This window comes from Homo sapiens, chromosome 20, assembly GCF_000001405.40.
Source record: "Homo sapiens chromosome 20, GRCh38.p14 Primary Assembly".
NCBI classification, from domain to species: Eukaryota; Metazoa; Chordata; class Mammalia; order Primates; family Hominidae; genus Homo; species Homo sapiens.
In genome coordinates this window covers 24,519,469-24,544,649 of record NC_000020.11, presented here as the reverse complement: position 1 = coordinate 24,544,649, position 25,181 = coordinate 24,519,469, and the positions used below count along the sequence as shown (strand labels likewise).

At 43.0% G+C, this 25,181-nt stretch overlaps 1 protein-coding gene across 23 annotated transcripts in view; it reads right to left on the bottom strand.

The window, feature by feature from the left end:
• SYNDIG1 (synapse differentiation inducing 1) overlaps positions 1-25,181 on the bottom strand; it is a 196,988-nt gene that overhangs the window by 121,967 nt on the left and 49,840 nt on the right. For all 23 annotated transcript variants that reach the window (NR_147606.2, NM_001323606.2, NM_024893.3 and 20 more), the window contains one exon: positions 1,073-1,630. Coding sequence is in view for 22 of the 23 variants with exons in the window: in NM_001323606.2 (NP_001310535.1) it covers positions 1,073-1,552 (480 nt within the window). In the remaining variant the exon portion in view is untranslated. The remainder of the gene's footprint in view (positions 1-1,072; positions 1,631-25,181) is intronic.

The window sequence follows — 25,181 nt, the reverse complement described above, 5'->3', positions numbered from 1 at the left end:
CCAGGCCAGCATGTGGACTTCTTCTGAGAGGCCAGCTCTCACACATACATGCTTGGAGTTCAGCTCCTGCCTCCCCAAGACCACTCCCCAGCTGCTGGCCACGATCCTGAATTTTCCATTCTGAACATTTCCTCTCCACCTACAAAAATGTTCTCGCCTACCTTAGTGAAAAACAGACATCCCTTCCCCTTTTGGCCACACACTGCCTCTGAAGGTTGGACCTGCTCGGCGGTTTCCTTCCCCACCAAACTGACGGAAAGCCTGGCACGTGTTTCCCTGACATCGCGTCCTGGGAAAACACCCCTGGCCTCACTGCAGTGGAATGACTTGGGAGGCATGGGCAGCAAACCGCTAGTCCATGGCCTGCAGCAGCTGCTCTCACCCTCTCACCGGTGCTGTCCTGGGGGGACAATGTGCCACACACTCAGCAACCACTGTGCCTACCACACTATATCCAACGTGCAGTGTGTACATCTCTGTGCATGTAATTCAAATGCTGTCACCTGCCCTCCAGTCCATTAAAGAAGCGAGTCATCTAAGAAGTCAACTTATCTTCCCTTCAGGCTATCAGTACCTACACTTTCTTCCAGCACGGTTCAGCTCTATCAACAATCTCTCAGTAGTAACTGTGGAATGCAAAGTCAAGGAACCACAGGTGACAGTAGAAGCACCTCCCAAAGTGTCCCCTGTCAAGTATATTTCCAGCCTCATGTGGCTCTAGGATCAGGTGTCCCTCTCTCATCTTGTCAATGACCTCTCTGTCTCATGGGATGCGGGAGAGCAGGGAAAACCGATGAACCCACCAGCACTGCCATCTGCAGCCATTACCTGGGGTCATCTCATACCAGAATCACCGGTGAAGCGCCCCTGGGTTTCTGTTAATCTAAGTCTTTCCTCTCCTTCTATCTTCCATAAGCACTCAAGAGTGAAGGGCACCAAGACTGCCTTTGGTTTCTGCATTTTTGCACACTAGTTTCATTCCCTAACTTTTGCCAGGCATTCATGGCTCCTGCCCTCCCTAGAATCCCCATCACACATTCTTAGAGGGCCTCTGACAAACACATCCTGTGACCTCCAGCTCCTGGAACTCCTCCTCCTCCTCCACATCGTAGGACAGGGTGTGGATTTTTATGTCATCAGCTGAGAGGTCAATGAACTTCCCATCCGGGTACTCGAGGCTGTCTTTGGTGGGCGACCGGTCCTCGATGAAGGTGGTCTCGCAGCAGTCGGCGGCCACACCGTCCCCCCAGGAGCGCAGCACGCCCTCTGAATAGAGGATGATGTTGGGCCGGTAGCGGGACTCCACTGACTGCTGCAGGGTGTTGGGGTCCAGCAGCTGCTGCATCGGCTCACTCCTGCTGCTGTCCAGGCTGGCCGGCACTGTGCTGGCCCCCACCCGGTGGCTCTGGTACTGGGGCGCTGGGTAAACAGACACCAGACCATCTCTGCTCTCGGCCATCAAGTTTCTGGTGTTAATTAAACCATTCCTCTTGCCAGCATCACTGATTTTACTGTGCACCAGCATGCTCTTCTGTTCAATGATGCCATCCATGGTACTCTCTCCCTGGCTGGGCGTCAGGCTGGTGGGCTGGGAATGTAGGTTACACTTGCCTCAGGGAAGCCATTTCTCCTGGAGGAGGAGAAAACAGAGATGAGACAAGAGAATCACACTTGAAAACAAGCTAATCACCCAGACCCACATTGTTTCAGACTGTACCAGCCAGCTGATAAACGCATAGTAACTGTGAGAGTTAGATAAAATGCAGTCCTACCTATTCAGTGAATGTTAAAAAGGGTCTGTGGGGGCGGCTAGCCAGAGTTAGCAGAAATTGATTACCTGAATCTCTATAAAGTCTCTGCTTCCAAATGAAGGAGACTGCAGGAATTGGCTCCCTTGCAGCCTAGAGGAACCTTTGATTGCTAGCAGACATCCTGAAACCCACAGGTAAACCCAATCGCATTAGCATCTGACAAGTCCATAGGAAAACAGAACTGCAAATCTGTAAAGGCGATTAGCTCTTCCCAGGTACATGGCTGTTCATTCAAGCAGGAAATTATGTGATTGCAATAATCTCTACTTAGTGATGATCTTGAGGTGTCAAGTCCCAAACACGAATCTGCTACTGAGGCATCTTGAGAGAGGCACAGCTTGGTCTCCTAGGGTGCTCTCTATAGTTGGCCACTCAGAATTTGCTGAGAACCAGAAGCATCAGCACCAGCTGGGAGCTTGTTGGAAATGCAGAATCTTGAGTAGCACCTGCACCTACTAAATCAGAATCTGCATTTTAACACGATCCCAGCTGATGAGTCTGCACATTAAAGCTGAGGAGGTGCTGGGCTACAGTGTACAGTGCACATTTTGGCCTGCTGAACAAGTTGATTTTACAACTGATTATTTACTAAATTTTAAAATGTACTCAAATTATGTCAAACAATTTATTTTTTTAAAAGAACAACTTTTTTTTCTTATTGAAGTGAATTTTTTCAATTTTGAGTATCATAAATTATGACTAAGTATGAATGAAAGGGATCAAAATTAGTGGAATTTTATTTTGTCATTTCCGCATCCTTCGATATCTCTTTCAACACAGACTGGTTTGTCATATATATTGCCTTTGCTTCATAATTCCCATTAGCTCATTTCCTTCCACGTTTGCTGGTACCCACTCCTACCTGCTCAGAGCCTTTCCCTGGGCCTGGGTTCATCCGCTCAGAGATGAAACTGGGTTGATGGGAGGAGAGAGAATGCCTCTAATGAGGCTGCCATCTAGGGTTATCCACATGGCTCTCTGTACCAATGCACTCCGGAGTCTTGCCCCAGGACAGTGCTACTGTTCTTCCAATTCCCTTTATAACTTTTGTGGGATTTTTTATTTATTTTTTTCTCAGTCGATGATACTCAGAACCAGTAGCTACAGAGATGAAAGCCTCCTGCCTGACTCTTTATTTCTGCATAAGCAGTCTCTGCTATGTCTAGGATGCTCCCTTCTCTTGACCAAACACTTTCTGGGCTGCATCAACCACTGAGTTCCCCGTGTCATCATCTTATAAGACTGGGAGTCTGGTTTTGAGCTTGGCAGAGGAAGCCGCCTTAAATGCATCACTGGCCAATCATGCTCCACCTGCTTCCTTATAGAGGAAGGCAGCTGGAGGAGGAGACAGGATGAAGAGGGGCCTCTGTGGCCTTGCATTTGAGTCCCTAGTTCTTAATCTCTTTCTATAACACTATTGTAAGAACTCTCCTGGGGAGTTACTAACATGCACAGCTAACCATGAGTCGTGGTGAATATCAGGTGAGTGGGAAAATTGAGGGGTTGTGAAAGAAAAATATAAGTCAGAAAGTAGGTATACAACATATTCTATACAAGTTTTATATTCTACATAAACACATATACATTTTTTTACTTGGAGACTGTCACGGTATAAAGAACACTTTTTACTAAAAGTCACGAGGCCAGAGATTCAGCCCTAGTTTTGCTACTAAATATCTGACTGTTGGCAAGTGGCTTATGAAAGTGGAACTATTAATGGGGTGATTGAGCAAGGAAAGTTTTCAGGTCCCTTTCAGCTCTGATTTTTTCTGTCTTAGTCAAAGAGTTTTAGGGTTTTATGGCAATAGATAGAGATTTTCTACAAAATGGCTTCAGTGGTGAATTGTAGCAAACATTTAAAGAACTAATACCAGTCCTTCTCAAACTTTTCCAAAAAAACTGAAGAGAAGTGAGCACTTCCTAAGTCATTCCATGAGGTCAGCATTACCCTGACACCAAAGCCAGAAAAGACACCATAGGAACATTACAGACCCATATGCCTTATGAACACTGATGTAAAACTCCCAACAAAATACTACTAAACTGAATTAAGCGGCATATTAAAGGAATCATATACCATGATCAAGTGAGATTTATTTCTGGAATGCAAGGAGGGTTAAAATCATGAAAATCAATCATTGTAATACACCACATTAACAGAATGAAAGACAAAAAATACGTAATTATCTCTATTGACATAGAAAAAGAATTTAATGCCTTTCTACTAAGCATTTCTGGAAAAGCATTGATGCTTTTCCTTTTCATGATAAAAACATGAAACAAACTAGGAATAGAAAGAAATTACCTCAACAAAATAAAAGCTATATTTGAAAAATCCACAGTGAACATCATACTCAATGGTGAAAGCACCTGTAACATCAAGAACAAGGCAAAGATGCCCACTTTTCCCACTTTTATTGAACACTGTACTAAAAACTGTAGCCAGAGAAATTAGGCAAGAAAAAGAAATAAAAGGCACTTAATTGGAAAGGAAGAAGTATGATCTCACATATAGAAAACCCTAAAGATTCCACAAAAAAATCTATTAGAACTAATAAATGAAGTTAGCAAAGTAGCAGGATACAAAGTTAATACACAAAAAATCAGCTGCATTTCTATATACCAACAATGAAGAATCTGAAAAGAAATTTTTTAAAAATTCATTTACAATAGCAACAAAAAGAACACAATACTTCAGAATTAATTGAACCAATGAGGTGAAGGACTCATACAAAGAAGTCATCAAAACATTGCTGAGGCAGGGCATGGTGGGTCATGCCTGTAATCTCAGTACTTTGGGAGGCTGAAGTGGGTGGATGACTTGAGGTCAGGAGTTCGAAACCAGCCTGGCCAACATCATGGTGAAACCCTATTTCTACCAAAAATACAAAAATTAGCTGGGCGTGGTGGTGGGCGCCTGTAATCCCAGCTACTCATGAGGCCGAGGCAGAAGAATTTCTTGAACACAGGAGGCAGAGGTTGCAGTGAGCTGAGATCGTGCCACTGGACTCCAGCCTGGGTGACAGAGCAAGACTCCATCTCAAAAACAAACAAACAAACAAACAAACAAACAAAACACTGCTGAAAAAAATTAAAGAAGACACAAATAAATGGGAAGACATTCCATATTCATGCACTGGGAACCTTAACATTGCTAGGATGTCAGTACTACCCAAAGTTATCTATAGATTCAGTGCGATCAGTAGCAAAATCCCAGTAATGTTGTCTGCAGAAACAGAAAAACCCATTCTAACATTCATATGGAATCTCAAGGAGCTCAGGCTGGACTTAGAACAAAGTAGGAGTACTCACACCTCCTGATTTTAAGACTTACTACAATGGCACTAGAATCAAAACAGTGTGATATGGCATAAATACACACATATAGACCAAGTGAATAAAATAGAGAGCCCAGAAATAAACCCTTGCTTATACAATCAAATGATTTTTAACAAGGGTGCCAACACCATTCAATAGGGAAAGGACATTTTTTTTCAACAAATGGTGCTAAAAAATTGGATATCCACATGCAAAAGAATGAAGTTGAACCCTTACCTAACACCATATTCAAAAACCAATCCCAAATAAATCAATCACCTAAATGTAAAATCTAAAACCATAAAACTCTTAGAAGAAAACAGGGCAAAAGCTTCATGACATTGGATTTGTCAATGATTTCTTGGATGTGACACCAAAGGCAGAGGCAACAAAAGAAAAAACAAGTTGGACTTCATAACAATTTAGATATTTTTGTGCATCAATAGACAATATCAACAGAGTAAGAAAGTAAGCCACAGAATGGGAGAAAACATTTGCAAATCATATATCTAATAAGGAATTAATACCCAAGATATATAGAGAATGGTTAAAACTCAACAACAAAAAATAATCTGATTCAAAAACTGGCAAAGGTCTTGAATAGAAATTTCTCCAAAGAAGATATACAGATGGCCAATAAGCCCAGGAAAAGATGCTCAACATCACTAATAATGGGAAATGAAAATCAAAACTACATATGAGATATGACCTCATACTCACTGGGATGGCTACTGTTAAAAAAAAAAACGGAAAATAACAAGTGTTGGTGAGGATGTGAAAAAATTGGAATCCTTGTGCACTGCTGGTGGGAATGAAAAACAGTGCAGTCGCTTTGGAAAACAGTATGGCAGTTCCTCAAATAATTAAAAATAGAATTACCGTATGGTCCAGAAATTCCACTTCTGGATATATACCAAAAGGAGTTGAAAACAGGGTCTTGAGGAGATACTTGCATGCCATGTTCATAGCAGCACTATTCATAATAGTTGAAATCTGAAAGCATCTCAAGTGTCTGTGGATGAATGGATAAGCAAAATGTGCTATCTACATTCAATGGAGTATTGCTCAGTCTTAAAAAAGGAAGGGAATTCTCACATAGGCCACAGCATGGATGGACCTTGAGGACATTACTCTAAGTGAAATAAGCTAGTCACATAAAGACATATGCTGTATGATTCCATCAATATGAGGTACTTAGAGTCATCAAAAGTACTCAAAAGTAATCAAAAGTGTGGTTTCCAGGGGATGGGAGTGGTGTGAGGAGTTATTATTTAATAGGTATGGAATGAAAAGGGATATAGAGATAGATGGTAGATAGATGGTGGTGATGGTTACACATTATAAGTGTACTTAATACCACCGAACTGTACACTTAAAAATTGTTAAGATTGTAGATTTTATGCTAACATAATAAAAAATTAGACAAACTCAATTAAACTGAACTAAAATAAAACATAAAAAGAAGAGCTATCTATGTGGAGATTCATGCTAAAGTATTTACAGATGAAATAAAAGATACACTGTCTGGGACTTGTTTAAAATCATCTGGATAGGAAGGAGAAGTGCACACCATACCGAGAAAAGAAGACTGTGCGCTGACCACTGATCATCTCAATTGGAATTCTCATCTGGAATTCCTCCTCCTCCTTCACATCCTAGGATGTCAAGGAACCACAGATGACAGCAGAAAGTCAAGGAACCACAGGTGACGGCAGAAACACCTCCCAAAGTGTACCCCCTCAAGTACACTTCCAGCCTCATGAGGCTCTAGGATCAGGCATCCCTCTTTCATCTTGCCAATGACCTCTCTGTCTCATGGGATGTGGGACAGCAGGGATCCCCGATGAACCCACCAGCAGTGCCATCTGGAGCCCCATCTGACAGCCATTACCTGTGGTCATCTCTGACCATCTCTGATCACTGAAGGAGGAGTGTATACCATACCGAGAAAACAAGACTGGCAGCAGGAGTTATGAATGAAGGTGTGCTGTATACCATACAGGGAAAACAAGACTGGCTGTGGACTGACCACTGAGGGAGGAGTGTATACCATACAGAGAAAACAAGACTGGCAGCAGGAGTGATGAATGAAGGTGTGCTGTATACCATACTGAGAAAACAAGACTGGCTGTGGACTGACCACTGAAGGAGGAGTGTATACCATACTGAGAAAAGAAGACTGGCTGTGGGCTGACCACCAAAGTTGGTTGATGGGTGCATGTGATTCATTATAGAATCCTCTCTCCTTTCATGTGTGTTTGAAATTTTCTGTAATAGAGAGGTTTGAAAAAATCAACAGGTTAAGCTGTGCAGGGGAGATGTTCCAGGCAGAGGGAACAGCATAGGTAGTGTTTAGGAAGCAGAGGAGGAGGCTGGAGAGATAAAGTTAGGAGGGGCGGGTCTCATTTAGAGGCTCATAGTAAGCAATAGGCATGTGGAAGAAAGGCTTAAGTGGGATGTGATCATCATAGAGGCAGTTCAGGCAGATGGATGTGTGAACAGCATGAGGAATGGGTACAAGGAGAAGCACAATAAGCCCTGGTGGTGTGGACAACTGACAGATGCGGTGGTCCTCTACTGCTCAAAGTGCTTTTGGGCAGTAAGAAGGGTGTGATGCCCTCCAGGAAACTTTGGGGTCCAGGACCCAACAGAGCCCCAGTGATGGTTCCCTGCTTTATGTATTTTATTTGAAAAATGGGTCATGAAGAGGCAAAATGTGTAGCCTCATCCCACAGCTGGAGGATTCCACATTCAGCAGCTCAGATCACAGGGTCCTCCCTGCGAGACATGGGGGGCCTGAGACCATGCTGGCAGTAGGAGTGATGAATGAAAGTGCGCTGGGGCTCTCACTTGTCCCTCTCAGGTACAGACACTTCTCCAGGCTGTGTGTGGAAGGCTGTTCAGCTTGGCTCACCTGAGTAAGCAGGCGTAACCCGGAGGATATTTAGGAAGGGCACACCCGGTTTCTAACACAGAGGTGGCTATGGGGCCTGAGGCTATCTCCAATATGCCCAGGGAGAGCTCCCAGACAGACAGACAGCGCTTCTTAGTGCCTTGAAGGAGCTGATCCAGGCAGCCGGGTCTCCTGAATGGGGTGGCAATGACATATTCAGTGGGGCCTTTCTTGCTTGGAGAGTGTTTGAGGAACACAGCAAGACTCAGGATGCCCAACTCCTCCCTGCCTCTGGAGACAAATGTCCATTCTGAATTGGCCTTTGAGTGCGCTGACACCCACGGGAATGTGGCTCCCCGGTAATTTCACCCGTGGCCACACTCAGATATCACCTCTTTCTGGAGCAGAGTTGGTCATCTGGGCTCCCAGGCTGCCCAGCTCAGGCCTGGATGACAGCATGGCCACGCCCCTCTGGTTCTGCTGGGGACAAGTCATCGCGGCTGCACTGCAGGCTCTCCCATCACAGCCATGATCTCAACCATCCTTGCAGTTCTGATGATGCATCCTGTACAATTCATCTGTTCCATTAGCACTTGATGAATAACTGAGTGATGTTTTGCCAATAGCAGCCGCAAATGAATCCTCAAACATGTGTGTCAAGAACTTCACTGATGAAAACAGATGAACTCTCCATCAATGAGGAAAAATTACTTGTTTAAGTCAGTACCCCAGTGAAAGTTGTCAGAATCAAAATGGAGTCAGTAACGTTAAGAAAACCCTGACAAATAGAGCCAGGGGAGGCCATGAAGAGAGGGGTCTCATGCTTGTATGCTTAATAACAAGACTACAAAACCCACAGCATTTTACACAAAAAACACTTCTGCGAGATCATCTGCCCAGCAACTGCCCGTCCAGACTCAGAGTGGTGTCACCCTTGTTATTAATCTTTATAGCCAAGGATAATTATTTCAAAACAATTGTGCAATCTTCACCCTTTTTTTTTCATGAAAAACCTTTGTCTTCTTTTACCTCCCTGAATGTGCACACAGTTTACTATGGCATGTGTGTTCCCATTGCAAAGCTTTATGCCCAGATAAACATCTTTTCTTTTAGAGAGCTTCTCTCTGTTTATGATTAAGGTTGACACCTAGAGACATGTGTAATTTAAAAGCCCGTCTATCTTGGATTAAGTTATTGAACGCTAGTAGCTTTTCTTGATTTGTAAATAAACCTTCCATTTGGGAAGGAACTATTCTAGCCAGAAATTCAGTAGTACTTAGGAAGAAAGCACACTGCTGTACATTTAGTGATGAGGTTTGGATCTTCATCAAGCAATTTCCCACATCTTCCCTTTGACATGAAGAGCTACTCCTATGCTCTCACCAGGAGGTGTCTACACACAAGCCAGCAGAAAACATCGGCAAACAACTATGGTGCTGCTTCAGAACTGGCAATGGTTCCCATCTCATCCCTGTCTTAACTCAAGGTAATGGCCTACTGAAACCAAGATCATAACAGGTAAAGAGTCACTGTTTTCTTATGGCTCTGCATGTTGGAAGCTTCCTAAACCTAAACCAGCAAACACCACACCCCACACCAAGTGACAATCATCTCTCAATGCAAGTGAAAACCATCCAGTGGTTGGTGACAAAATAATACTCCAGCTGGGCAAAAGCCAGCTCTTCAGAGCAGAGGTGGCCGCAAGTCCTAATGCAATGTCACCAATAAAAGTTTCAAAACAGAACTCCCTCCCTCAAACCCAGGGAATAAAGGAAGCCGCACCGTGTCCAGCCCCTACCACACCACGAGCATGTGGCAGGTACTTCCATGCATCCACCTGACAGGCACTTAATGGGTACCTACCGTGTGCAGGCAGTGTGTAGTGTGTTGAGTGCGGGGGTGTAGCTGGGGACCTAGGTGACCACCAGCAGGGACCCTGCACGCAGCACAGGAGAAAGACAATTTTTTGAATGAGCGCCAACGTGTAACCAGTGGGCGAGACAAAGCTGCCTTGAAGGAAGAAACACAGGGCACAATCTCCTGTGAAGACCCGCTGACGGCAAGCCCTGAACGGGGTGAGGAGTTAGCCAGGGCCAGACCGAGGGGCACTGTTCCGGCTGGGGGAAATCCCTGCCCAGCACACTGGGCCCTGAGGCAAAGGCCAGCAGAGGGACCTGTGCAGAGGTTCAGAAAAGAAGAGAGGGAGGGCACAGGCCTGGCCAGGCAGGAGCCCCGGAGCTTGTGCTGACAACCTCAGGAGTCCAGGTGGGATCTACAGGCTCCTGGGGCTTCCCTGAGTGCCCCAGATGGAGGGGAGGGGTGGAGGCTGTGAGGAGGGGGCCCCCTGCTTCTAGCTTAGGCCCTCGGATTAGGGAAAGGGATGATGACAAAGTCACATCAACCAGGGGCTGTTACAGTTTAGATGTTTGTGGGTTCCAAATCTCAGGTTGAAATGTGATCCCTAGTGTTGGAGGTGGGGCCGGGAACGAGGTGCCCTCCCTAGGGTAATAAGCTCTCGTAAGAGCTGGTTGTTGAAAAGAGACTGGGACCCCCTCCTCTTTCTCTTGCTCCCCCTTTGTCATGTGATGTGCCTGCTTCCCTTCACCTTCTTCCATGAATAAAAACCTCCTGAGGCCTCACCAGAAGCTGAGCAGATGCCAGTGCCGTGCCTGTACAGCCTGCAGAACCGTAAGCCCAAACAAACTTCCTTTAAAAATAAACCATCCAGGCTTAGGTGAATACCTTTATAGCCATGCAAAATGGACTAACACAGGGGCTGAATCCGTGGGTGCCCTACTCCGTGCCCTGGCTCCCATCATCCCAGGGATTGATGGTGCTATCACGGCTCACATACAGGTCAGGCCAGGCCAAAGGGGCTATGGCACCTGGTGCAGCCTCAGCCAGTGACAGTGAGAAGCTGATGGATCAGCACCCAGCACCTTTGTCCTGGGGTGGGACAGCTCGGAGGCTGGTGTTTGACACTTCCCCAGCGCCCCCCAGAGATCAACTTGCTGTACAACACAGCATTTGTCTATGGCCTTCCCTCCTTGGTCCTCGGTGGTGCTTCCCGGGATCCCCTCCTCTCCCAAATTCTCATCCCCAGGCTTGTTTCTTGGGGACAAACCCAAGGCATCAGACTATTGTCAACAAGCCTGCGAGGTGTTATCACAACTTCTGTATGGACAAGAAAACTAAGCAGGCCAACTTGTATGTCTGTAAACCCACAGCTCTGTAAATATTATTAGACGACTGCAGTTTGTTTCTGTGGTCAGAACTGGAGAAGGGGGTAAATATCTGCCTTCACAGGTCCAAGCAGAAACCACCAGAAAGAGCTGGAAGGCCTCCCAGCCTGCAAGGAGGAAGGTAATGTGCCTACGTGGACAAACACGTCTTACAACAAAAATTAGAAAAAGGCCAGGACAGTTAATTCTTTCTGCAAGCGTATAAGCTGCCTGATTGCAGGGAGAGCATGTCTCGGTGTCCTCAGTTCCTAGGAGAATGACTCCTCAGTGCTCAATGGCATTCTGGTCCTCCAGAGCAGTCTCAGAAGGCGGAGTAATCTAATCCTGCCCCTAAAAGACGGATTCTCTCCCACGTGCTGGGGAACAGTTAGCTTTCCTGGCTTCTGAGACCCAGGAGAAGGAAGACTCAGACCCCCCAACCCCTTTCCAAGAAAATGACTGCTCCAGCAACCTCCAGGATGTGCCCTGGTGATGTCTTTTGGATTCCACAAGGTCCTAAATCCTAACAGTTGTTGATCTAAATGCAGATAGAAAAGATACGAAGAGAAATAGGTGGAGATTGAGCCCAGGAGTTTCTGACTCCAAGTCTTACAGTCCTCATGGAGCAGAAGACCCCAGGTCTCTGTTGGAAAGCTGGCGAAACAGCTCAGGCTGTGGGGCCATGCATGGATGCTCACGGCTGAAAGGCTGGGAGTGCAGGAAGATCCCAACTCTGTTGCTTTCTTTAACTTTAATTAGTATTTTCATTCATTTTTTAAAATAATTGCTTTACTGAAATATCATTTGCATGCCATGAAATTCATCCAAATTTAAGGATGTATAATTGAGTGAGATTTAGTATATTCACCAAGTTGTGCAGTGCAACCCTCATCACTATCTGATTCCAGAACATTCCTGTCACCCCATGCCCATGATGTGGTTCCTTTCCCCAGCCCCTGGCAAACACTGATCTACTTTCTGTCTCTATGGATTTGCCTATTCTGGACATTTCATATAACTGGAATCATACACTATGTGGCCTCTCATGACTGCCTTCTTTCACTTGGCATGATGTGTTTGAGGTCATTTCTTCTCATGGCGGGCTCATATTCCATGGTACGGAAGCACTGCACTGTGTTTACCTTCACTGTGCTTTCATTGTGGGGGGAAATGGTGGTTGCTATCCTTTAGCTCTTGTGTAATACGGGGCTAATTATGATTACAGCTCTTTGGCTGAATGGTTGATAAGACAGTGTGTTCTTTTTCTGGCAGGTATATAGTGAGAATAAAACTACCTTAAAAACAAAGCCCTCAGTGGTAGAGTACCTCTGGGGTGAGGGAATGGCATTTTGTGTATGGCCTGGAACACAAAGTGACAACATAGTAGATGTTCAGGAAGCAGAGGCATTAGATGGACCAGACAAATCCTGCTGGAGGCAGCCTCTGTTACCCACCAATGGAAGAAAATGCTGCAGGCTGGGCCTGCTTACTCACTGTGAGATAGAAAAACTCAGTCCCCTAAATACAGCAGATGCTTTTGCATGCCGAGTGTCCCAGCAGAATAAACCAGCACACGCAGAAGCCATCTTCCCCACCAGAAATGGGATCTGAGCAATTTCATGCTCCACCTGCACGTAGCACACATAGCACACACCTTCTGTGAAGAAGGCCAGCCTGCTCCAGGGGGAATTATGCATTGTAAAAGTGACAGAGTTATACATGGTCCTATCCATGAAGAAATTTTGATTACTCATTACAGGTAGCATTTTTTTTTTCAAAATTGTCTCTAATGTTTAATAGATGGTTTTGCTCTGAGGAATTGGCTAGAAAAAATCCAGTGAATGTTTTGGGAACCAGGATTGCAAGTGCAATTATTTTCAAACAAATGCATGAATAAAGAAATACAGAAAAACTGGAGAATCAGAACTTTCTCTTACTAGTTTTCCTTTTTTTCTGAACCTACGAATAAGTCTAGATTTTTTTTAAAAGTCTATGTCTCGCCCACCCTACCACCCACTCATCTCCCTTTCTTAAACATACCTACTCCTTTCACAGAATGACTTAAAGATCTGCACTGTTGGTTTATGATTTGTTACTGTATAGAGTGGAAGGAACTTCACAACATAGTATTCCATGTCCATCCCTGTGTGGCTAATTAGAAAACTCGAATGCCGATTATATTGTGCAGTATCAGTCATATTTAACATATAAGACCATCTCTGTAGCAGCCTCTCCAAGTAGAAACAGAATGAAGTCAGCTACCTATGCAACTGAAGGAGAAAATAAAACTAATTGCAGGCCAGGCACGGTGGCTCACACCTGTAATCCTAGCACTTTGGGAGGCTGAGGCAGGCAGACTGCCTGAGCTCAGGAGTTCAAGACCAGCCTGGTCAACATGGTGAAACCCTGTCTCTACTAAAATACAAAAAAATTAGCTGGGCTTGGTGGCATGCGCCTGTAGTCCCAGCTACTCAGGAGCCTGAGGCAGGAGAATCGCTTGAACTCAGGAGGCAGAAGTTGCAGTGAGCAGAGATTGCACCACTGCTCTCCAGCCTGGGCGACAGAACAAGACTCCGTCTCCGAAAAAAAAAAAAACAAAAAACCCAAAAAACAAACAAACAAAACCCCCCACAAAACTAATTGCAGTTTCATTTAGCCAGAGTGTTTGGCATGTTTGACAGGTATGGCTGCTCCTGACCCTTCTTATACAGCTCAATTTGTCAAGGCATTAGGAGGGCACCAGGTGCTGGGTCTTTCCCAAACCCTAACACTGTTAGAAGCCTTTTGTGTAAATAGTAAAACTTCCCTACTGCTAAGCGAATGATACGTGTAATTCACCAAGGCCCAAGTGTATAGAGAAAAGAGCTGCTTGCAAACCCTCATTAAAACAATTAAAATTTGCCTTTAGCACACACAGAAAAGCCTGTGATTTGGCAGTGGAGAGAGTTAATGAAACATTTGGGACCAGATCAGTTATTACTATTTAGCATTTAAATGGCACATTACAATTGCAAAATGCTACATCATCCTATGTATCATTTTTGGTGGCCTGGGACTTCCTGTTCACAAAGCCAACCCAAACTTCTGCTGGTGAGTGATGCTTTGTCATAGCACAGCACCACTGGGTCACAATCCACAGGAACTCCAAATCTGATTTATAAGCAGTCAGACATATATAGCAGATATGATGTGATTTTGGAAACAAGAAAACCTGCAGATTCAGACCATTGCTGCTTTTAAAAGTTGTGCCAACTCCCTTTAGCTTTGTAAGTCTCCACTTCATTTTTAAGGATAATGTGGAGGGAGGAAGCTTCTTCCCCTGTGACACTGCCATGTCCACCATTACCAACTCCACCACCCTCACCATTACCACCATCACCACGACCATCACCATCATTATCCCCACCACTGACACCATCACCACCACCATCACCATCATTATTCCCAACACTGACACCATCACCATCATTATCCCCACCATTGATACCATCACCAGGAGTACTACCATCACCCTCACCACCATCACCACCATCATCCCCACCACTGACACTGTCAGAAGGAGTACCACCGTCACCATCCCCACCACTGACACCATCAGCAGGAGTACCACTATCACCGTCCCCACCACTGAAACTGTCAATAGGAGTACCATCACCATTACCACCATCATCCCCACTGCTGACACTACTGCCAGGATTTGGAAAATCAAGGCCACAGAACAAATACATCTAACACCTGCGTTTGTACAGCCCACAAGCTAAGAATGGTTTTCACATTTTTAAGTAGTTGAAGAAAATAGGAATATTCTATGACACACAAAAATTATGTGAAATTCAAATGTCAGTGTCCATAAATAAAGTTTTATTGGACTACACCCACAACCATTCATGCACATATGTCTATGGCTTCTTCTTCATGACAAGGGAAGAGTTGAGCAGTTGTGACAGAGACCATATTGTCCATGAAGCCTAAAATATTATCTGACTCTTTACAGAAAAATTTTACTGATTCCTAGCCATCATCCCTTCCATACCACCACCACCACCACCACCATCACTACCAGAAATCCACAACCACCATTACATCACCACCACTACTACTACTAACAATAACATCACTGTTGGTACAAGTAATGTCACCAGTACCATTGTCATCATTACCATCAACAGTGATGTCCTCCCACACACACAGTCCATGGTTTAGAGATGCAGAGGCTCCCATGTGACCAAAGATTTAACTGATAAGATTGTGAATGTGGACACAGACTCAGCCAAGACGTCTTCCTCCCCACCCACTGAAGGACAGAAAGAGAAAGCCTTGAACGCATTCTCACCTCTAAAATTATTTTGGGTAAAACTGTTTTTTTTTCCTTTGGAGGAGGGCCAGAGGGGCTTCATCTCTGAGAATTTCTAACCACAAGCCTGCACTCACACTCTCTCTGAGATTTCACACTCTTAATGTGCCTTGAAAAACACAGTTGAACACTTAGTTTGTAGTGTTTGGGGCTGGGAATCCACCACTGTGATTCTTGGCAGAAGCAAATGCAAATGTCCTCTAGGATAATGTATGTTAAAGACAGGACTAGAAAATGCCCATGGATAGTCTCAGAAAACAACCTGAGTTTGGGATTCAAGGGAGGGAAATGAGCACTGCTAATGGTTTGGATGCATATATTCCTTTGCAATTAATATGTGGGAACTAAATTCCTGAGGTGATGGCATTAAGAGGTGGAGCCCTTGGAGGTGATTAAGCCCTCGCCCATAGGATTAGTGCCTGTACAAAAGGGCTTGAGGGGGAGAGTTAGCCCCTTCTTGAGCTTCTGCCATGTGAGCACACAGTGTTCATCCCCTCCAGAGGACACGTAATAAGGTGCTATCTTAGAAGAAGAGAGTGAGTCCTTATCAGACACTGAATCTGCCAGCACTTCAATGTTGGACTTCCCGGCCTTCAGAACTGTGTGAAATAAATTTCTATTATTGATAAATTACACTGTGTGGTATTTTGTTGTAACAGCAGAAGCAAACTAAGACAAGCACTAAACACAGGAAGAAATAAGCAAGGGTGAGCAGAAATATCACAAATCTGGCCCACAGTGAATGTAGGTATTAACACTTTCAGATGAAGATTATAAAACAACCATACTTAGGATACTTTACAAATGAAAGATTTAGGACTTTTAGAAATAAAAATACATCAGTGAAATTAAAAGTCAATGGACAAACTGTTATTTCTAGCATTAGAATTGACTAGATGCTCTGAGAGATTCTCTTGTTACAAAATTAGATTCAGGATTAGAACACACTTTGAGACATTACTGATTGCGAAGGAAAATCTCCAAATATCACCACTCTTCCATGGAAGATTACTTGAAGGGGCAGAGCTGCACTGATTTAGGCATCAACAGTAACAGTAATAGTAAGTTATATAGCCTTGTAGAAAGACAAGATAGAGAAGTTGAGGCTGAACCTTATTCTAAGCTAAGATTCTTTACGGATGTGGTCTCAGATTTAAGCATGCATTTGAATCACCTGAAGGGCATGTTAAGCCCCAGGTTGCCAGGCTACAGAGTTCCTTACTCAGGGTGGAAAGGGATACCCAAGTTTCCATTTCTAAGAAGCTCATAGGTGACGCTGCTGCAGCTGATCCAGGGACCACACTCTGAGAACCACTGTTCTGTCGATTGCAATAGAGCCAATTCAGTGACGACTCCTCATTACAGGCAGAATAGAAACAAACATCTCTAAGAGAAAGACCCCCTCCCCAATTTAGCCACAGAGTAAGGTCAAATAATGAGCTGAGAAAGATCATCATGCACAAAAGACTGTATGCCACCATAAGTGAGAGTCTATAGAGAAAGAAGGAAGGAAAGAAAAGAAAAGAAAGGAAAAAAAAAGAAAAGAGAAGAGAAGAAAAGAACAACTCTGGACCATCAAGGACTTTACATATTTTTATAGTGAGAAGAAAGTATAGAACAATTGTTCATGAAATACTTACATAAATAAAACACAAGAAGGAGCAAGTGACAAGTGACTACCAGAATAAATAGAAAAATGAAACGTGTGAATTTCAAAAAGCAAAAAATATTTTTGTTGGAGTAAAAAACACAACGGAAGATATGGAATCTAAACAGCAGAATAGACACAGCTAAGAAAAAAAATGTAATCCAGAAGACAGATCTGAGAAAAATACCCCAAATGCCTCACGAATAGAAAAAAAGATAGGAGACAGCAATAAGCAGCAAAGAGCCTGGCAGGTAGAATGAGAAAGATCAGTCTCTTCTAATGGGAGTCTCAGAAATGGAGACAGAACTCCTGGGAGAGAAGCCGCACCTCAAAGGACGCTACCTGTGAAATGTTCAGCACTGATGAGAAACACAAATTCACTGATCCAGGAAATACCACATTGACACATTACATGAAACTGCTGAAGATTAAGTGGAAAGGTCTTAAAAGCAGTCAAAGGAAAATAGTGGATAATCTACATAGCAACAAAAACTAGAATGGCAAGACACATATCAAGCAATAATGGAAGCAAAAGGACAGAGGATAATATCTTCAATATATTGAGAGATATTAACTCTCAACCTTGAACTGGACATAATGAAATTATCTTTCAAGAGCCAAGTGAAAAATCCATTTGCAAATAAATAAAAAATCTACTTAGAGACTTAAACTAAAAGGAATTCTAAAGGATGCACTTTAGGAAGAAGAAAAATAATGCTGGGTGATGACCTGAGATACAAGGACTTATGAGCACACAAACTCACGACATACTTATAAATCCAAACAAACATTGATTATATATCTATCTATATATCTATATCTATATCTCTCTCTCTATATATATAAATGTAAATCATTAGATTTATTCTTAAAACTCTAAACACAGGAAAACAATAGCATGTAAATCAGGAGGTGAGCTAAGATTCTTTTAATGTTCCAGAAGTGTGTGAACATGTTCAGCTTTATACTTAAATATACATAGGCAAATGTCAAGGATAACTACCAAATGAATGGAAACATTTCTAATCATTCTAAACCAGGGGAGAGAAGTACATGAGTAAGAATGAAAATAGTAGTAAAACCTCAATCAAATAAAAAGAGGTAAGAAAAAAATGAAACATAAAAAAAAAGTTGGCCAAATTCTAAATAGAAAACTAGGATAATAGCAGATCCAAACATATCAGTATTCACAATAGGTACAAATTAATTTAAATTGTCAATTAAAATAAATTGTTAGTTTGGATTTAAAATAATATCCAGACATATGTTATTTATAAGAGATAGACCTAAAGCATACGGACATGGAATCGCTAAAAGTAAAAGGATGGAAAACATATATACAAGGAAAATCCTAGGCAACAAATAAGAAATCTGGCACAGTGTAATGAATACAAAACAGATATTAAGGAGTAGAAAGTATTATTATATAGTAACATAGTTACACAGAGAGAGATCCAATTAACCGTATACAACAATTCTCAAATTCCATGTACATAATCCATTTATATCACATTATATAAAGCAAAATTTATAGAATTATGGGGATAATGTAATATTTTCACCATCACAACAGGAGACTGCAAAGTATGCTCTCAATTATGCTGAGAAATAAACAGGCCAAAATTAAGAAAAACATAGAATATTTGAATAATAATTTTGATCAAAAATGCACATATAAAACTTGGCATCCAACAGAGAATACAAATTCTTCTAGGCATACGTGTTCTCTTTCTCTCTCATTCTCTGTCTCTCTCACTCTCTCTCCATTCTTCTCTCTCTTTCTTCCTTTCAAAAATTGATCAAGTATTAGGCCATGAAGTATGCTGGGCATGGTGGCTCACGCCTGTAATCCCAGCACTTTGGGAGGCCGAGGCAGGTGGATCACCTGAGGTCAGGAGTTCGAGACCAGCCTGGCCCACATCGTGAAACCCCGTCTCTACTAAAAATAAAAAATCAGCCAGGCATGGTGGTGTGTGCCTGTAATTCCAGCTACTCGGGAGGTGGAGAATTGCTTGAACCCAGGAGGTGGAGGTTGCAGTGAGCCAAGATCGTGCCACTGTACTCCAGCTTGGGCCACAGAGTAAGACTCTGTCTCAAAAAAAAAAAAAAAAAAAAAAAGAAGAAGAAGAAGTATGTATAAAACATTAGTATCTTACAGATCATTTTCTTTAGCCACAATGCAAATCATATAAAAGTTGATACAATTAATAAAAACCACGTTCATTTAGAAACGAAGGAAAAGAAATGCTTTCTTAATAACCATTTGATCAAAAAGGAATCATAACAAAATATAAAAATACTTAGGTCAGGATCATTGAGAAACTAAATTATTGAAACCTAGAGATGCAGGAGAAGAGGGAAATATGTAGCCTTAAATGCATATATTATTTTTAAAAGGTTAAAAATTAATGAGCCCCATCTAAATTAATAAATTCACCAAAATAATAATAATAAAGGCAAATAATACATGACAGGTGTTAATAAGGTAAGAGCAGAAGCTAGTGAAACAGAAAGCAAAGATACCACACAGAGGATCCACAAGGCCAAGTCTCTTCCCTGCAAAGACAACTCTCTGATGAGGCTGTGTAAAGAGAGAGCCAGGGAGCCTGCTTCTAGGCTAGATGAAGAAGTGGACTCACATCACTCTTCCCCTCTCTCCAAGACCCCGTTAAAATGTTAGTGAAAGAGCAAAAAGAATCTTAATGGAAGAGAAAATGGAAAAAATCATCCTTAACAAGATAAATTTTTTTTTTTTTTTTGAGACAGAGTCTCGCTCTGTCGCCCAGGCTGGAGTGCAGTGGCGCGATCTCAGCTCACTGTAAGCTCCGCCTCCCGGGTTCACGCCGTTCTCCTGCCTCAGCCTCCCGGGGTAGCTGGGACTACAGGCGCCCGCCACCACGCCCAGCTAATGTTTTGTATTTTTAGTAGAGACGGGGTTTCGCCTTGTTAGCCAGGATGGTCTCAATCTCCTGACCTCGTGATCCACCCGCCTCGGCCTCCCAAAGTGCTGGGATTACTGGCGTGAGCCACCCTGGCCGGCCAACAAGATAAATAATTTTAAAGCGTAACAGTAGATGAGGAATCTAACCAAAGGCGAGAAGAAGGAGTGTGGACAGAAGCTGCAGCCAGGAATTTATGTTTGGAGCCCGCAGATGGCCAAGAGGACACAGGAACATGGGCTGGCAGAGGACCTTTCATCAAAACCATGCACATGGACAGGCAATGGGTCAGCGCCTTCGAAGTTGCGAGAAAAACCTTTAAAGTATGTACTCTACCAAGCACTCCTCCAAGGATGAGTAAAAACAAAAAAGGAAACAAAACAAGGATGACAATAAATATTTTCAAGAGTCAGAAGATGTAGCTCACAGCAGCCTGTCTGAATAAGTAACTTAGAGATTTACTCCAGAAACAAATGGCAGTGAAAACCATGGATGTGGATAATAGAGGATAAGGGGAAAGCAGTGAATAGCTTAAATGAATAAAAAGCAATCTCTGCATGGCAGCTGGCCAGCAGCAATCTGTCCCATTTATAACAAACACCCGTGGGCTTCACAAAGACCATCTTTGTGAGCAAGAACGGCAGCGCGCATGCACAGCTGGAAGTTAAGATGGATGCTGTGAGGAAGGCACAGGTTTCTTTCCTCAATGTGAAAAGAATGTCATTTAGAAACTCCAGAAAAACACACACAGCCAGAATAGGTGTATAGGAACTCCATCGGTCCAAATATAAAGCAAAACAAAATTTCCCGTCATTTTACACAGCTGTGGAATTTAAAAAGACAGAATCCGTTTGACCTGGACACTATATTTTCCTTTATCTGGCACAGGGGTTATGATTCAGGAGCTGAATACAGAGGCAATATTAACTTATTACCAAAACTTGGGTTTATAGCCATAACATTTACAGAATCTTGACAATAAATGTTTAGTAATTTAACATTTAGAATCTACATATAAACCCAACGTAACTGAAAACCAAAATTTAAAGGTGCCTCACCCTGACCAAGTTGACATCATTGTTGTTGTGGTCATCATCATCAGTTTGACCAAGAGTTCAGCTTCTCCTAAATCCCAAGCATCGTGCTAAACTTTTAATAAGGACTATCCTGTTTAATTTTTATAACAACCCCATTAAGTAGGTATAGTTATTATCATCCCTTTTGCAGATGTGGAAACTGAGGCATCAAAAACTGAAGCAACCTGTTTAAGGTCTTTCGCCTATAAGCTGCAGAGCTGGATTTCACAGCCAGGAAGCCTGACTTCAGGGTCTGACTCATAGCCAGTAAGCTGGACTCACTCATTCTCATGTACAATTGAAGACACAGCCAACCTCAATAGGAAAGTGACACAGTTTGCTTGTGTGTCCCCTCCAAATCTCATATTGAAATGTGATCACCAGTGTTGAAGGCAGGCCTAACAGGAGGTGTGTGGGTCATGGGGGTGAATTCCTCATGAAGGGCTTGGTGCCATCCTTGTGGCAAGGAGTAAGTTCTTGCTGTGTTAGTTTACATGCGAGCTGCTTGTTTAAAAGACCCTGACATCTCTCTCTTGCTCCCTCTCACCAGGTGACATGTTGGCTGCCACTTCCCCTTCTGCCATGATTAAAAGCTTCCTGAAGCTTCCCCAGAAGCCAAGTAGATGCTGGCACCATGCTTGTACAGCCTACAGAACCACGAGCCAAATAAGCCTCTTTTCTTTACAAATGCCCCAGTCTCTGGTATTCCCTTACAGCAACACAAAACGGACTAATACAGAAGGCCAATGGGGAAGAGAGAAACAGTGTGGGTAAGCATGCCAACCACAGCCTCATCCCACAGAGTGAAATGAATACAACAGTAACCAAGGGAAGGACTCAAAATAATACATCCCTAAGAAGTTGGGAGAAGTGGGGAGGAGATAGGCAGTAGTGTAAGTGAACTAAATTCTAACCTTAAGTGAACTAATCTCTACCCTTTCAAAGCAGGGAGTCCACTGGTAGAATTTAAAGCTAACGGATCAAGAAATAACTTGATGCGGCCAGGTACATGGGCTCATGCCTATAATCCCAGCACACTGGGAGGCAAAGGTGGGAGGATCGCTTGGAGCTAGGAGTTGGAGACCAGCCTGTGCAACACAATGAGACCCCATCTCTACAAAAAATTTTTAAAGCTGGCCAGGCATATGCACCTATAGTCCTAGCTACAGGTGGGAGACTAAGGCAGGAAGCTGAGGCTGATGCTGGAGGATCACTTGAGCCCAGGGGTTTGAGGCTGCAGTGAGCTATGATCATGCCACTGCACTCTAGCCTAGAAAACAGAGCAAGACTCCATCTCTAAAAAGAAAAAAAGATAGAACAGGATGAACACAGCTGTCAGGGTATGGCAATAACAGTCAAAAGAGGAAGGTGGGCAGGAGCTGCCTCTGAGAAGTGTCTGGGCAAATGAAGTGATATGTTAGGGGCCAAGGGGAAAGGTTTGTAACTTTCATTACTATTTCGGGGTATTACTTAATTTTTTTTTTTTTTTTGAGAGGGAGTCTTTCTTTTTCACCCATGCTGGAGTGCAGTGGCGCAATCTTGGCTCACTACAACCTCTGCCTCCTGGGTTCAAGCGATTCTCCTGCGTCAGCCTCCCGAGTAGCTGGGATTACAACCATGCACCACCACACCCAGCTAATTTTTTTGTATTTTTAGTAGAGACGGGGTTTTGTCCTGTTGGCCAGGCTGGTCTCGAACTCCTGACCTCAGGGGATCCACCCTCCTCGGTCTCCCAAAGTGCTAGGATTACACGTGTGAGCCACTGTGTGTGGCGAGGTACTACTTAAATTTTAAATATGCCTTTATTATACTAGCAGAATAACCATATGAAAATAGCCTTTAAAATTCATATTATTGTAGAGAAACTGGAACCCTGTGCGTTGCCAGTGAAAATGTCAAATGGAGTGGCCACGGTGGAAGACAAGACGGTGGGTCCTCAAAGATTCAACACTGAGTTACCATACAGCAGCCATTTCACTGCTGAGTATACACTCCCCAAAATGGAAAGCAGGTGTGATTGTGTCACTGTACTCCAGCCTGGGCAACAGAGTAAGGCCCTGTCTCTTAAAAAAAATTGAAAGCAGTGACTCCAACACAGATTTGGGGACACTGAAGTGCATAGCATCATGATGCAGAAGTAGTCAGAAGGTGGGAACAATGAAAACGCCCATTGACAGAGGAATGAATACGCAAAATATGGCATATGCTACCCTGAATTATTAGTCAGCCTTCAAAATGAAGCAAATTTTCCTCAGTGTTACAGCATGGATGACCCTTGAAGACAACATGCTAAGTGAAATACGCCAGTCACAAAAGGTCAAATACTGTATGATTCCACTTATATGAGGTACCTAGAATAGTCACACTCACAGACAGAACACAGCTGCAGAGGCTGCAGAAGGGAGGGAACGGAGAGTTACTGCTTAATGGGGACAAGGTCTTGGTTTAGGATGGTGGTAAGTTCTGCAGATGGACGGTGGTGATGGCTGCACAGCAATGTGCATGGATTTAATGCCATTGAATTGTACATTTAAAAAGGAATAAAATGGTATATTTTATATGTATTTACTACAATAAAAAAGGACTTTTCTCAAAAAAATAAGAAGTAACAATGTTGGTGTACAAGCCAACATTGTTAGGTGCAAGTATACACAAGTATAGTACCTTTGAACTTACTGTAATTTTTTTTTTTTTTTGAGACAGAGTTTCTCTCTTGTTACGCAGGCTGGAGTACACTGGCATGATCTCAGCTCACTGCAACCTCTGGCTCCCTGGTTCAAGTGATTCTCCTGCCTCAGCCTCCTGAGCAGCTGGGATTACAGGCGCACACCACAACACCAAGCTAATTTTTGTATTTTTAGTAGAGACAGGGTTTCTCCATGTTTCCCAGGCTGACCCAAACTCTTGAGGTTGTGATCCGCCTGCCTCAGCCTCCCAAAGTCCTGGGATTATAGGCGTGAGCCACCGCACCTGGCCTGAACTTACTGGAATTTGATGTAAGTTAGTTCTACACTTTCTGGAAAATATAAGAACCTCAAACATATTAATTCTGATTACAATCTACAAATTTAGTACTGTAGTACTATTGTTGGCTTTATTTTAAATTATATATAATATACATATACTATTATGTAAGATATAAAAACATATAAAATTATATATTAAACATATATAAGCACCACAATATTTTGTTAGTGTTTTTTCTTTATTCAGTCAGTATTCATTTAGATTTACCTATATACATAAAAGCATGCTCAGGGAAAAGCCCCGTCGGACTCCATCAAGGGTCAGAAGCCACTGACTGCGAGGTGCATCACTGTTTCAGAATTTCAGAAATAGGAACAAATGAAAAGAAAGGAATGTACATCCTAGAATTGGAGAAATGCACTATTAAATAGAAAATAAACTAAGAGAGAAAGAGCCACAGACTGCAACACTACTCAGAAAATTCCTTAGCATGGGTTAGTTACTAAATGAGTTTAATCTACAGTGATGACATTCTGTGTTTTTCGTGATGGCGGTGGTGGTGGGGTGTGTGTGTGTGTGTGTGCATGTGCGCGTGCGTGCGTGTGTCTGTCTGTCTGTCTAAGGGAGAGAGAGAGAGGGAGAAGGAGAAGGAGGGAGAAAGAGAAAGAGAAAAATCCACTATGCACTGAGGGTTGCATGAGTAATACAACTTTACCAAAAGATCAAAGGAGCCACATGGCTGCCATTCTCTGTATCAATAATAAAGGCACGTGGTAGAGAACTGGGATGTGGATTGGCTGTTGCCAGGATCCATTTTGTGGAAGAGGGTAAAAAAGAAACTTGAAGAATACTATGCTTCTAACCTTCCCAAGTTCACAGAAGTGAACCCAGAAGTGACAACATGGCCAGCTCATCATTCACATCATAAATGATCTATTTAAAAATCCTTAGGGT